General features: G+C 40.8%; 1 protein-coding gene across 2 annotated transcripts in view; it reads right to left on the bottom strand.

The window, feature by feature from the left end:
- NT5E (5'-nucleotidase ecto) overlaps nucleotides 1-15,817 on the bottom strand; it is a 45,702-nt gene that overhangs the window by 13,584 nt on the left and 16,301 nt on the right. For both annotated transcript variants that reach the window (NM_002526.4, NM_001204813.2), the window contains exons 2-3: nucleotides 14,919-15,141; nucleotides 10,776-10,964 (exon numbers count right to left, since the gene is read on the bottom strand). In NM_002526.4, the coding sequence (NP_002517.1) occupies nucleotides 10,776-10,964; nucleotides 14,919-15,141 (412 nt within the window). The remainder of the gene's footprint in view (nucleotides 1-10,775; nucleotides 10,965-14,918; nucleotides 15,142-15,817) is intronic.

Raw genomic sequence — 15,817 nt, 5'->3', positions numbered from 1 at the left:
AATGGACTGAAGTATAGAATGTTGTAAGGCAGTCCATGCTATGATTTTAACACAAGAACTGGTTTAAGAATTCCTGAATTGGGACAACATAAGAGGACTGGATAAAAAGGATTGGTAATTAGGTTATTTCAAATGATTGCTTCTAAGGGATTTGACTCTTTCTTTTAAATTACTTAGAAGTGTACACTCCTTGGATGCTCCTTTTATCTGTCTACTTCTCTACACTTCCTCAAGCAAGCTAGTCTTGACCACTACTATCTTGTGCCTAGGTTACTGTGACAGCTTCCTAGTCTCTGTAGGTCTCTTCTATGCTTCTTTCTACTCCAGTCTCCACACAGCAGCCTGAGTGATCTTTCTAAAACATAAATATGATCATGCACTTCCTGGTTTTAGATATTTCAAAAACATTAACAGTTTTAACATGAATATCATAACCTATAAGACCCACATGATGTGGCCCTTTCTTATCACGCCAGCTTCATCTGGAACATTCAGTCTGCCCTTCAGCATTCTTAGCCTCTTCCCATTCCTAGACCACACCCACGTGCCCAGGAACCTTATGGAGTAAAGAGCTTCTGAAGCCAGAGGGCTACATGTGAATTAGTTACATCTTTTTACTTCTTGTTTATTCATCTGTAAAGTGGAAAAAAAGCAAAAGCACCTACCTTACAGAGTTATTGTGGAGATTAAAGAAGTTAATGCAGCAAGTGAAGCCTGACTCGACTCAAGGGAAATGCTTAATAAAGATTAACAGTGATTATTGACCATGTTAACTCCTGGACATCTTTCTGATCTTGGCCCTAATGTTAGTCCATCAGGGAACACTCACTGATGATCCTCTAGACTTGGCCAAGTCCTCCTTTTATACGCTTTCACAGCATCTTGTACTTTTCCTTTCATACCATGCTTTGTAATTATATATAATATGATTTATTTGCATAATTATGTATTTTTAAAAAATCTGATCAGGGCCAGTATCTCTTTCAAGACATTTAGTTCCATGAGGGCAGGGGCAGCTGTGTCTCTAGAATTTGCCTAGCATGTGGTAGGTGCTAGATAAATGTTTGTTGAATGACAACTTAAGGAGTTTAGCAAACACTTTTCTAGGGATCATACATGATTATGATGCTTTCCATGTGGTGGAATCATGTAGAAGCCAGCGATGCCTGAGTGCCAGCCCTTTACCCCAGGTCCCCTCAATTCAGTGTCCTCAACTATGCAGCTGGGTGGGAGCTAATGAAGAGGAACCTGAACTGGGAGTTGGGATACAGGAGAATGGGTTTTGCTACTAGGTCAGTTTCAGTCTGGTTTCTGGACCATAGGAGAGACATTTAGTCCCTGGGGCCTAATTTTATTTTCTAAATTTGTAAAACCAAAGATTTGATTAGTGGTTTAAATCAATAGTTTGTTTGTTTGTTTGTTTGTTTGTTTAAGCTATTAGTATCTTTAACACACAAGAAATCCTTTGTGGCAAGGCAAGCCAATAAATAGGAAAGCTGAGTTCCTCAGGCTGCACCCTGGTAGAGCTGGAACCCAGGACTAGGTTCCTGCCACCAGAGCCCCTCCGAGCACAGCACAGAAACTGCTGGCCTAGAAGTCCCCTGCACCCAGTCCCTCCAGCTCTCCAGTCAGGCCTGGCTGCTGTCTCTGCTTCTGCTAGTCTAGGAGCACCTTCAGGTGACCAGGACAGAGCACGCTCTCCAGTCATCACAGCCCATTCAAAAGGTGTCCAGCAACCAGAGGAGCAACCACTGTCTCTTCAGTCATCTCTGTACCAAACCATGATGCACAAGCTGTCATGTCAACTTTAGGGAATTTGAGGGGTCAGGTACTGTTATCTATGCCCAGACTATGTCACTCTGCACATGCTTCAATTTACTGCTCAAATTCTTGCCTCTGGCCTTTCAGTGATGACCCAGGAAGTCTAAAGAGATTATGCATCTTCCGGTAGTATACAGAGTGGGCACAAAGCCCTCATGAAATCCAATCCAGGCTATCTGCTTGTACCCAAGCCTGATAGGCTGGGCAAAGCAGGGAACCCTGTAGGTAGGGACAGTTCACCACACATTTAGTCACTCATTCAACAGATCTTCACGGAGCTCCAGTGAGTGCCCAGCATTTTGGATCTCCACCACCTAGCAAGACCAGGCCCATGGTCTGGTGCGTCATCTTTTGTAATGGCTGCTCCATGAATACAGGGTAGGGAAAGCGAGCAAATACTTAGCTTTCTGCCAGCCTCTTCTCTTCACATGGAATCTGGCCATCTCCATGGCTCAGCATCATTCCAGATACTAGGATTCCTATTCACTTCTTACATTATAGAACAGGCTTCTATAAAGCAATGTTTAAAAATAAGAAAACAAAAATAATCGAAACACAGCTACCTTCTGGTTCTATCACTATGGCCTGTTTAAAATGCAGTGGCCAAAAGAATGGGGTGGAGAGAGAGAGAGAGACTAATTTTCATCTTGGCATGCCCGTGTAGTTCCATTACTGGTGTTCTTTTCAGAAGTAATGACTTTATTTCTTGAGATTAAAAAGGAGGTAACTGTGACCATACATTGATATACTCCTGATATATAAATATTTGGCCAGAGGTCTTCCTACAAAGGTTGTCTACTGCTGTGTGAAAGGCTGTGTGTAGTTGGTGAGTGGTCTGAATGCCCAGTTCCCTTGAGTCATTCCTTCCCATCATGCTGGTGTGCAATGTAGTGTGGAGTACTTCAGATAAAGCTTAGAACCTGGAGGTCATCTGGAATGGAAGGCCAAAGCTCTGGTTCCAAATCATGACAGAGTACTTGGAGAGTGTCTTACAGATGAGCAGTCATGAATTCCTAGCCATAAATGTTTCTTGGCCTGGGGGAAACATATACTGAGGACAAGAGAAATGAGTGAAGAATACCTAGGCTGTTTGGGTTAAACCACTGCATTCCTGGTTTCTTATCGTTTAAGAGTAAGAAGATACATTTAGTCATTTTGTGAATTTAGCTTAGATTCTCAAATTTAGGATATCTTTTTTTTTATTTAACAAAAATATGTATTACAGTTCAAGTTTAGGATTAGTAGTTAATTTTATAGGGTTTACAGGGACTTTAAAAATTTGTTATAAAAATAAAACTAGCATTACAGAATATTTGGCAAATGCAGAAGAAAAAAATTATTCATAGTCCTACCGCCTTATGACCAATATAATTTCTGTGAATTAATATGTATGAGAAGCAAGGAGGGGAAATTGGTGTTGGAATACATTTTAAGGAGAAGCCATTTTGTTCAGTGAAATACCTGTATTAGAGTTCTTCAGATAGGATATATCCTACTGGTTTCTATTTCTCTAGCTCTCTCTCTCTTTCTCTCTCTCAATACTATATATATAGAGAGATAATACATGAGCAGAACTGGGCCCTAGAACATAGTAGGTCTAAGATAAATATGTCAGTTCTCTAATATTCTTTCTATATATATATATAAATATATTTAACAGATCATATATGTCTAATATAGACATATTTATATATTTTGTTCATATATTATCTCACTTAATCTCCACAACTCTCTAAGGTAGCCATATCACTGTCACCATTTTAAAAAAAGAAAGCTGATGCTCAGAGTGGTTGAGTAACTTGTCCAAAGTCAGACAGCTAGTGGTGGCTAAGCCTGAGAGGAAACCAGTTCTTAGAGTTTAAAGCACTTTCGAAAACCCCATGCCACTTCCCAGTGAAAGCTGGAGAAATGAGATCCTTTGCAGAAGACCATCAAGCAGCAAAGTTAAGGAAACACAAACTTCAGTCCTGGTAAGAGATTCGTACCTATGAGTGGGCTTAAGACTTCACAGTAGCTGGCCATCACCTTTCCTTATAATTCTACCCTGCCAAATGACCTTGGACTGCCATTCGTTCTGTAGTCATTCTTTTTAGATTTTGGTTTCGGATAGTCTCACTTCATCTTGGAAAGCAGTTTCATGAGACAGCTAAAATGGATCAGTGTTATGTGGCTGCAAAAATTACAAACCAGAAGGCTCTGGCTTTGCTCTGTAAAGGAAGCAGGTGCTCAGGCTGGGCCATGGCCAGAAGTTTACTGAAAGGACCCAAGTGGGTGACCACCAGTACAAATAAGTTCTTGTGCTTACCACATTCAAACAGACCAGGAAAGCAAAATCCTTTTTTTTTTTTTTTTTGAGACAAGGTCTCTCTCTGTCACACTGGCTGGAGTGCAGTGGCGTAATCATAGCTCACTGCAGCCTCAAACTCCTGGGCTCAAGTGATGCTCCTGCCTCAGCCTCCCAAAGCACTGGAATTGCAAACACTGGGATTGCCAACATGCCCAACCACACTCAGTCAGGAAATTACCTTTGAAGCTACCACCCACACCTCTGCCCCTTGGCTGATTCTCCCACATCACTTAATAAACACAGATGTCAGCAGTTCTTATCAAATGCCCAAAGGAAATGGTTCTTTGTTGAGGAGTGTTTCCCTGTCTTGTGAATGTTGTAAGTAATAAGATTGTTTTCTCGTTCTAAAAGGCAAGATTATCTCAACTGCAAGGATGAAAATTAATGGAGAGATGAATAATGATTGTAAACACCAACAACAGTCTCCCACCCTCTTTACTTATTCCTATTACAGCAGGGATGCATCCATCCCATCAGACTATGCACCAGCCTGATGGCAGCATGAAGAAAACACAGCAGGTGCTTGTAGTCTGTCTTAGTTATAATTATATTGCAAGCTCCATTTGTTTTAAGAGCAAAATTCTGTGGTCATTAAAATTATTTCTTTAGATACATGAAAAGTTTTGAATTTTATATTCAATATGTGTGCCTAAATCCAGAAGCAATGGAAATTAGATACTTAATTAAAAAAAAAACTGATCAATCAAATAAAGAAATCTTACTTTTTAAAGAAGTTGCACTTGTTAACGTTCATTTAACAATACCAGACACCTGCCTTCCATGTGTCAGCCGCGACACAGTCAAGGGTGTAATGGACACTTCCAGGCTAGCAAGGAGAGAAGTGAAGCCTGCTGGACTGGGAGGGAAAGAGGAATTCAAAAGACTTGAGCTTTCATAAGTCTGAAGGTGAGCTCTAAAAAAAATAAGGGAGTGAGAAAGATTTATGGATAGGAGGCCTGTGATAAGAGAGTTGGAGAGTGGAGGCAGGGAAATACTAGGTAGAAAAGGGTGGGGTCCCTGGCAATGGCTCCACCCTCAAGCCTGGACCCGTGGCCCAAAGTGAGAACTTTATATCCCCATTTTGCTGCCTGAATGTTGCCTTTTCCAAAATCACCCTGGCCCGCCCTGCCCCCCATCCTGTCCCCATAAAAACCCCAGGATCCACTGGCAGTGGAATGGCAGAGAAGGAGAGAAGAGAAGAAGCTTGACACTGGTGAAAAGCAGCTTGACTTCAGAGGGATGGCTTGACGGTAGGACCTCGGAGAAGAGTTCAGCTGGGGATGGCCTAACTCCAGGGGGAGACACCTTCCCACTCCATCCCCTTTCCAGCTCCCCATCCCACTGAGAGCCATTTTCATCAGCAATAAAGTTCTCCACATTCACCATCTTCAATTTGTTCGTGCAAGCTGATCCTTCCTGGTTGCTGAACAAGAGTTCAGGATACAGAGGGCTGTCACACTGAGCTGTTAAAACACTTAAGCTGTCCATGGACAGCAAAGCTAAAAGAGCACACTGTAACACATGCCCTCTGCGGCTCCAGGGGTCACAGATACTCACCTAGATGCTGCTGCGGGGCCGCACAGAGTTCTACTCCTGCCAGCACCCAGAAGCACTTGTCCCACCCTCTGCACCCACTCACCTATGTGCTCTCCCTCCCATGAGGAGTTGAGAGCTGCAGGATGAGTAAACAAGACAACCCCTTCATGAGTCCCACGAAGGGGTCAAGGGAACTATCCCATTTCAGTTTTGGACATGGAGAAATTCTGGAGATAATCAAGTCTCAGCCTGTGGCCCCAGAAGTGAAGTTGCTGAAATGGAGTGGAGGTGTCAGTCACTGGATTGAGGAGATCAAGGGACTCTGAACTTGGGGTATTGGATCAACTACCCACATGGACACTCTGCCAGGTGAAGGCAGGAGCTGGAGTGGAGCAGAAGATAGGAAATTGGATACTAAATTCTCAGTGACGTGGGACATTGCTTGGAGGTGATTAGATGAGAGTGATAAGACAGGGGACAGAAGGTCTGAGCCTCAAAGGAGTTAGAGGAATAATTAAGTTCATATCAGTAGCCTAATGAAAGTATGAGGTATTCTACCAAATTTTTTTTTATTTCCCCAAATCCTGAAAAGTAAGCTTTCAGGCTCTATGTATGGATGATTTTCTAGGTAACAGGATGTTAGAATGGGAGGGATGACAGAATTAACAATTCAAATCCCTTTAACTTGCGGCTATAGAAACTGGTGCTTATATTCACCCAAGGCCATAGCTAGCCAGATTGATTTGCAGAATCCAAAACTCACTTAAAATACTGGGAGGCAAACAGAGAAACAGCATCTTTGGAGTCCCTTCAAGGACAGCACAGAGAATAGAGTCCCCTGTTGTACCTGCTGCAGGTTTCAACCTGCACTGATTTTACTACTTTTTTCTCTAAAGGAAGCAACATGGACCAGTTCGTGACTCTAGGATTTAACTTCTTTAGAGAAAGCGTTTGCATTTTAGCTCTTATCTTTGTAACTTTATCATTTTGTAAGCCTTGTAGAGGGAAGTTCCCTTCTCTTCACTCTGATGTTAGACTGGTCAGCCAATGCTAGGGTTAGCTGCATATGCATGGTACTTGGAAAGGAAAGAAACTGGAATAACTTTCAACATTTGGAAGGGATCCATTCATGCACTGTTTTAGTCATGCCTTATTTGAAGCTGAGTTTTAAAAAAATATGAGCAAGCTACAATACAATAAAATTAATATAATGGGTGGTAACCAGCATTTAAAAACTCAAATAACAGAACAGAAAATATGAGGGTGCAATCCACGAGCTTTGGAAAGGTTTTCTTCCATGTGTGTTTGTATATTGGATACTGTGCGTGCAGAAATGGTTCTCAGTAAGATTTAAAATTCCAAGGGATGTATTATTTTAACTGTATTTTTATTAACTAATCATATTTATCAGATTCATTATTTTAATGTCATTCTAATTCCATAAAATTATTCAGCAGAGTTGTTTTCTTAAGGCCAGGAAAGTTTATTTAAACAGGCAATATGCCTCATCCCTATTGTGTCCTGGAATTACCTTTAATGTTTTTGCTGTTGTTGCTGTTGTTGAGACAGGGTTTTCACTCTGTCACTCAGACTGGAGTTCAGTGGAGTGATCATAGCTCACTGCATCCTCAACCTCCCCGATTCAAGCAATTCTCCCACCTCAGCCTCCTGAGTAGGTGGGACTACAGGCATATGCCCCTACACTTGGCTAATTTTTAAAAATTTTTTTTGTAGATATGGGGGTCTCCCTATCTTGCCCAGGCCGGTCTCGAACTCCTGGGCTCAAGCAATTCTTCTGCCTCAGCCTCCCAAAATTCTGGGATTATAGGCATGAGCTGCTGTGCCCAGCCACCTTTAATTGTTAAGTTCACTCATCAAAACGATGAGTATGAAAAGTGAAGATTTTCATCAGAACAAGTTTAATCTTGGTAAGCAATCATGAAATGTGAAGTAAATGACTAAGTATTAGTTATCTCAGTTTTCTCAGAGACTGTAATTATTTACTTCAGGATTTACAGATAAGCAAACTCTAATTTTTATCCTCAAATCTTTCTTTCATCCAGTCCTTCATCATTAACTAAATTTATCTACTTAGCAAAGGCACATACAGTTGGCTGTCTCTAACTGTGGGTTTTGCATTGTTGGATTCAGCCAGCCATGAACAAAAAGTTATTTTCTAAAAAAGGATGGTTTTATCTGTACTGAACATATATTTTTTCTTGTCTTTGCTCCCTAAACAATACAGTATAACAACTATTTACATATCATTTACATTGTATCAAGTATTATAAGTAATCTAGAGATGACTTAAAATATATGCGAGGATGTGCACAGGTCATATGCAAATGCTACACCATTTATATAAGGGACTTGAGCATCCATGGATTTTGGTATCCACAGGGAGTTCTAGAACCAATCCCCCACAGATACTAAGGCATGACTGTACTGTTATGGGAACAAAGGACAGGCTACAGAAATAATGGGAAGCTGGGCATGGTCTCCCAATCTTTTCAGGTCTATCAGGGCACACTCACTGATGGACACAAACCACAGGCTATGAATGACTAATTGTTGCTGTAAGACAGCATTGATTAAGATGGTGTAAAGACAAGTCAAGGGGAACACAGGAATGTTCACATCTGAATGAAGGGATGAAACTCCTTTGAGTGTTCATGCATTATTTTGGTCACGTCCCATTTAAAGCTGAGTTTTTAGAAACATGGATTAACTACAGTACAAGAAAATCAATTCAATGAGTGGTAGCTGGCATTAAGTGAATAAAACAGTAAAACAGAAAAGTTGGGGTGCATTCCATGTGCTTTGTGAAAGTTTTCTTTCACTTGTATGTGTTTGCACATACAAGTGCTTTTGCATGTTCGTATGTGAACGCACACACACATATATGTTTGTGTGTTTTGGCTCCCTGTCTAAAATGTTCTTCTTACTACGGGTCATAGTTTAAACTTTTTGAAACCATTATTCTAAAGGAAGAAGGGGGAGGAGACATATCTAGCTCCCACTGTGTGTCCAAGGGTGCTGACACTGCCTCAGTGAAAAGCTAAGGTTTGGGTTTTCACAGGTCTTATCCAGTGAGCCAGCACATAACTAAAATAAGAACAGCTAACATACTAGGCCCTGTGCTAAGGCCATTTACCTATACATTCATTACACATATTAAATCACAGTGACCCCTTATAATAGGTACTGTTGTTATCACCTTCATTCCACAGATGAGGGTAATCAGGCATTGAAAGGACCCCACCATTAGTGGTAGAGTCAGAAGGACTTTGTTGAGTCTTCACCCCTACCCAGTGCTTCCCAGTGACCTGCTCCAATTATTTCCTCGTCTTGGCTCTCTTAGTTCATTTAACCCTCATGGAGTTGTTGAAACTCTTTGATTGCAATGTTATCCATGCTAACAATGTCCAGTGCTAGTCGTCATCCTCATCACATTTATGGATTGTCTGCTATGTGCCTGGGGCTGTTCTTGACATCTTATATACATCTTTTCCCATGGAACAATATTTATCATTCTTATGAGTAATGTAAGTGCCTAATCTATTTTAGTCTTATCTGTCAAAAAAAAAAGCCCTACTACTGGTCATAACCCATAAATTGATTTCACAACCTGTCAGTTTAACTCAGTTTGAAATTATTCCTTAGCCTGTGTTTACCAAGAAGTAAAATATCTGTGAAGGAATTTAATTAGCACACATTCATACTGGTATTTTCTTAAGTGAAGGCCAACTTTAGTTTGTGAGTTATGATTTTGACTGACATATTTTTATAAGCAGGCAACCTCCATGACGCTGCATACCAGAATATAGCTATTTATAGTTTATAAACTGCTTTCACATATTTTTACATCTCATATAATTTTCACAGTAACGTGGAACTTTGAGCATGATCATCCCCTATTTTGAAGCTAAGCTAGCAGATTCAGAGGTGCTAAGTGACCTGCTCAAAGTCATTCAAGTGAATTAGGAATGGGGACTTTTGACCCAATATTGTGTTTCTTTCCTTTTTATAATTTATATTTTGCTTTCCGATTGCAAAAGTAACATGCATTCATTATTTGAAAATACTCCAAAGTACTAGAAAGAAAATAAAAATTACTTTCTTAGTGATAATCCCTTTTAATGTTTTTGGGTATTTCCTACTTATTGTTTGGGGTATTTTGAGTTTCGCTTTTATCAAAATAGCATGGTCTTTGACAGCCCACATAAGGATGGTAGAAGCAGGAGCCTCTTCAAGGGGAGGGCTGTTCCCACGCCAAAGCCTTCTTTGCGAATGCTGATAGAAGAACTGTTTACCAGCCTCTTCTTCCTTTCCTTGGGAATACTTCAAAGATCTATGCAGTGCAAGGTGGGGGAAGTGGGAAAGGTGGAACCAGATTCAAAAGTTTTGGGACATTATAGGTTTAAAGTGGAAAAATCATAAAAGAGTTATTCTGATGAAAACTACTTAACACCAATTTGAGAGAGAAAAAAAGAGAGTGGTGGGGGTAGTCAGGTAGTGGGTAGGAAGAGTGCATGCTCTCCTGAGGACCCAGGGTCATGTGGCTTCCAGGATACTTATATTCCTAGTCTGCAGCAGAGTTAGGACTCACACTCGAGGTCCAGCCTCTGCTACCTGTGCAACCTACAAATCAAATCCACCTTGAGTTATAAAGGTCCTTATTTACATTATTTTGTTTATGCTTAAAGTTTTTATATGACATGTTGCTTTTTGATAAGAATCTATCATAAATGACTTGGTTGGGGCTCAATAGTCTTTTTGTTTTTCATATGTATGGTATATATATGTTTTATACATATTTTATGTCTTATATATTTATTATATACATAAATATATGGAATTGACTTATAATCATGAAATCAATAAATTCTTAGTAATGTTTGTAAGATTTGCACATGTTCCCATTTAATGTATATTACATATATATTATAGATCATATAATATACATTACATATTAAATAGCAGTAAAAAGAGTAATAACAGTTACAAAGGCAAAAGAGACACAGTGCTTATCTGGACATCCTGGCCCATGCAATCCTTTTGAAACAATTACCTGTGTAAAGAAATGTGTTGGAGTGTCCTCCCACCACGACGTCCACACCCCTCACTTTCTGAGCGATGAGTTTATCCATTTCAAAACCCGAATGTCCCAGTGCAATAATTTTGTTCACATTTAGAGTTTTTAACTTATCTACTTCAGGTTGTAATGCAGTGATTTCATCTTCAAACACTAAATTTGTCCCTAAGGAACAAAATAAATAAAATGGATATTTATTAACAATTTTTATTATATTACTTAATATACATATTAACATGCAAAGGTTAAACACCTTAATTTACTAAAGCTCAAGAGTCAGTAAAACCAAAACATATTTATTCATTAAATACAAAACCCCTAAGAAGTAAATAAAAATTCAAATCAATATCCTCATTACATTCACTTTATGTTGTATTAGTTTAAGGTTGTGGATATTGTTTTGCTTGAACTTGGTTGCAAACTGTGAGGAGGCTTCAGATATTGTTTTATATATTTGTACATCTCAACTTCCACAATACCAATGCAGAAAATGCCTAAGCACGTAAGCATGATACACAAAAGAGTATTAGCAACTCCAAGACGTTCGTTGGAAACTTGGGATAATCAGTGTTCAAACTTAAAACTGTCAGCAAGTAGTCCTTGAATGCCTATTTTAATATGGCAGTTGATAACTTTGTCATGTTCTCTTTAATGCCAGCAGGCCAGGCACAGTGGCTCACGCTTGTAATCTCAGTACTTTGGGAGGCTGCAGCAGGCAGATCACTTGATGCCAGGAGTTTGAGACCAGCCCAGGCAAAATGGCGAAACCCTGTCTCTACTAAAAATACAAAAATTATTCAGGCGTGGAGGCACATGCCAGGTACTTGGAAGGCTGAGGCAGGAGAATGTCTTGAACCTGCCAGGCGGAGGCTGCAATGAGCCGAGACCATACCACTGCACTCCAGCCTGGGCAACAAGAGCAAGACTCTGCCTCAAAAAATATATAAATATATAAATAATGCCAGCATTAGAGCATTATTGAGCTCTGTGTTAATCATGAGGGCCTCATCTAAATGTTGCTGGCACTGGGATTGTGTACATTCTTCCCTGGGTGCTTATTACTGCACATAGTGGTAACAAACGATAGCCTTTTGTTATCAGTAGTCAAGCATGGCTCTCACTGTGCAACCCAGGTTCTCTGTGTGCAGCAAGGCAACTGGTTCCTCCAACTGGCTCTGTTAGCCACATTTGAGGAAGCTTTGAGGTTTTATGGCTATCACTGGCATGAAGATGACTGCAAATACAGACATGCTGCCCTGAAGTCATGTCTGGTACTCTGTGACTAGGGAGTCCTCCAGTAGATCCAGACGTTCTTACACTGATTTCTAAGAACTAACACTAAACAAGGGAAGGAGGGTGGGAGAATGACATTTCATTAAAAGCTTTCAAAATGCAGGAGTCTGCAAACTCCAGTTTGAAAAGTACTAATCCAAAGAGTAACAAGATTATTAGAAATGCATCCCTTGTTCCACTGTGAGGTTTAGGAATGTCTGTGTGCTTCAGCAGGGGAACTCCTGAATCCTTAACATTAGCCAACTCCACAAGTGCAAATTACCATGGAAGATAATTCATGGCTGACATCATAGCCAGGGAGGCCCCAGAATGACAACCTAATAATTAGCAGCTCACAGATGTGTTGGACAGGCAAGGCTGTCTGTAACTCATAGGCAATGTTGAAAAATCAAGAGTTGTAGTTTTGCCACTGTTGTCTATTATGAGAACATCAAGGACAATCTGCTTCCTGTTGGTTGCCCCAAGAAGCCCAGGGCTCCCCGTTGACCCTCAGTGCTATGTTGCCTTCTATGTGAGCCTTTCCTTGAGCATCTCTTTGAAACAACAAGGTATACCTTCCCCCCTGCTGCACTTGCCATTCCCCTCCTGCTTAATTCTTCTCCACAGCCTTAGCACCTTCTGACATACCAAACCATTTACTCATTTATTGATTCCCCCACTGAATATGTAAGCTCCAGTGGGCAACTTTTTTTTTTTTGGTCAGTATCCCTGGTGCCTAAAACAGTGCCTGGCACACAGACAGGTACCCAGGGGAATGACTAAATGTCGAGAGTATGCTACCATCTTTTGCTTAAGGTATGGCTGCCAAGAAGGAAAAAAAATTCAGAGAAATGCCTCTGAGGACAAAGGAATGTATTCCTCTATTATATCAGAAACCTCACAGGACCAGGCATCCCATATATACAAAGCATGGCTTATATTTCAAGATGTCATGAGGAGAGTTGTATTTCAGGTATTTAATGATCTAGCTAAAATAAATTAGATTAAATGTGCTAGAAATACAGGTTATAACCCTGTGGGTGCCCAGGCCACTAGGACTGGGAGAACTGGGCTTGATTAGGGTCAAAGAACTGTAGGAAGAACCCACACCAGGCCGCTGGGCCTGTAGTCTTGGAAGAAGCAGTGCTCCTGGAAACATTCTATTCCACCCCATCCCTTTCCCCCCACACTGGGCCCTGCAAAATGCAGCCCTCTCTTCCAGCAGCTGCTGGAAACAGCAGTGTCACTTTTGATCCCCTCTCTGTTACAGCCTGGTAAAGGGCTGGTCAGAGTCCCAGCTGGGGCAGTTTGATTTCTGGAGCTGCTGTGCCTTTCCACCAAGACCTGCACCTCCTACCTCCTTATGGGTGCCTTTTAAAGAAGAGACAATGCTTTCCTCCAAATCACACCTGAACTTCTCAGCCCTACAATCTAGCCCTGATCCAACTTTCTAGCTTTTCCTAGTCAGAACCCATGCTCCAGGAAATGGAACTATCTGCTGTTCTGTGACTGTGGCCCCTATACCTTCCTGCTCTCATGTATTCATCCCAGCAATGCTTCCTGAGGACTTATCATATGCCAGGCACTGTGCACAGTCATTGGGCAATAGTGAGACAGCAGAGGTTTCTGTCCTCATGGAGCCTGCATCCTAGCTTGTGACTCTGACCTCACTTCTGGAATGTCCTGTGCCCCAGGGATGTTTTACACAGCTCTCAAGGGGACCAAGGAGGTTCTTCAGCAAGTAAACCTGACCCCAGGGTGGGGTTGGGGGGTTCTTTAGCAAGTTCTCTCACTCTTCTCACTGACCACTCCAGCCCCAGCCGCTCCACCCTGCCTCCAGCTCTGCCTCTATGCCAGCTGCAGGACCCGCTTGCTGCTCTCAGCAAACACAGCTGACTTTTCTGTTGTTGTTTCCAATGGCCTGGACTTATTTATTTTATAACAACAACAACAGTAAATATATATTTTTGAATTGTCAATTATATGTCCTTTATCAGTTAGTTCTTAATGAAAACTCATGTTTCTAGATAACCCTGGCTCCTATTTTCCCTTTTTTTCTTCAAATATGGAAACACATTTAATTTGGATAATTTAAAGAAAATGTCATTTTTGTTCTCATTGCCAAAATATTCCAAAAAGTTTTCTTATAAAAGTGCCTCAAAATAGTTTCTTGAAGGGTCTTAAGATTATATATGTGTGTGTGTCTTATATGTATGTATGTATATGTGTCATATATGTATGTGTGTGTCTTAAGATTATATATATTATATATACATATGTGTATATATGTCTATAAATGTATATACATACACTTATATATATCCATATATATCATAAGACCACTATATATATTTCCCAGAAAGTCAGATACAAGAATGTCATTAAAACGAGATGAATAATGAAAAGCGAGAAAGGTGAGTTAGCTGGACATGTAATAATCATCCTAGAAAAGGAGCAATAAGGTAAATTGAGGTAAAACTCTGGCTCTGTGCTCATGGCTCCACAGGAGAAGGGCAGTGAGTTTTGAGGCTCTCATTCTCTAGTAAATGAAACTGTACTGTTTAGCACTGGCTATACATTGTCTCCTCTTCCCATTTTGAAAGCACTGAATTAGACAAAGATACTGTTTTTGTCAACAAAGAAGTTCACTGAGCAGAAGAGGACATCTCTTTAAGAAGTACCTTGGAACAACAGCATAGAATTTACCAGATTGCTTTTATCAGTGTTATTCTAGTGCACTATTTACCCAGTTGTTCCTACTTTTATCTACAGTCCATAAATATAATGCCAAGCTGTGATTTAGGGCATCTATTTTCAAGCATTGAGTGCTATAAAAGTAGAAAATACCTGGATTTGAGAGAAAAGGGGTTTCTTTGGAAGTGTATCCAACGATTCCCACAACTTCATCACCAACAGGAAGAACTTTATATGGCAAATAAAGTCCTGATATTTGAGATGCTAGTGGCCCCTTTGCTTTAATGTTTGCACTCAGAATTGGAAATTTGGCCTCTTTGAGGAGTGGCTCGATCAGTCCTTCCACACCATTATCAAATTCATGATTTCCCAGTGCCTAGATAAAACAGAAAAGAGAAAAAGAATTAGGTGCTTTAAAAACATAACATTAGTCCAGTATTTCTCAAAACTGACTAAGCTCTATGAGACATATTGCATGATTTTGTGTCCTCCTCACCTGGGTCAGGCCCAGGGACATTCAGATCATCACATTGCTTGAGAATTGCTACCCAGGTGTCACACCACCTAATAAAGGTGGTTTGCCAATGTGCATACGCAACACCTGGAGAGCTGGCCAGGGGTCCACTGTCCCACCATCTCAGATTGGGGGCAGGTTTGAATGTTCACATTTACCAGCCTCTGCCCAATTTTTCCATGTTGTTTTTCTCTCATAAACCCACATTTCAGACCCCATGATTCAAGCCGCGATCTGCTGGAGAGAATGATTAACATCAGCAGGACTTTAGCAAAAGGCAACCTGAAATGTATGGTTGGCAGAGACCAAAGGCCTCCTTCCTCATTTCACCTCCTAGGTCATCATTCACCTAGGTTGCCACAATTGCTTCTTCCCAAGCACTCCTGTGGTCCTCTAATTCTTCTGGGAAAATGAAGTTCCTCAATAGCAGGCAGGAGCTAGCATCTCCATATGTTCCAGTGTGGCTCTGGCTTCCTCCTCCAGTCAGCTCTGGGCACCCTTTGCTCCAGTCCCAGCAGTTTCACATCTGGGGAAGAAC

This window comes from Homo sapiens, chromosome 6, assembly GCF_000001405.40.
Source record: "Homo sapiens chromosome 6, GRCh38.p14 Primary Assembly".
Lineage (NCBI taxonomy): Eukaryota > Metazoa > Chordata > Mammalia > Primates > Hominidae > Homo > Homo sapiens.
The sequence above is the reverse complement of the archived record's forward strand: the minus strand, read 5'-3'. Positions and strand labels throughout refer to the sequence as shown.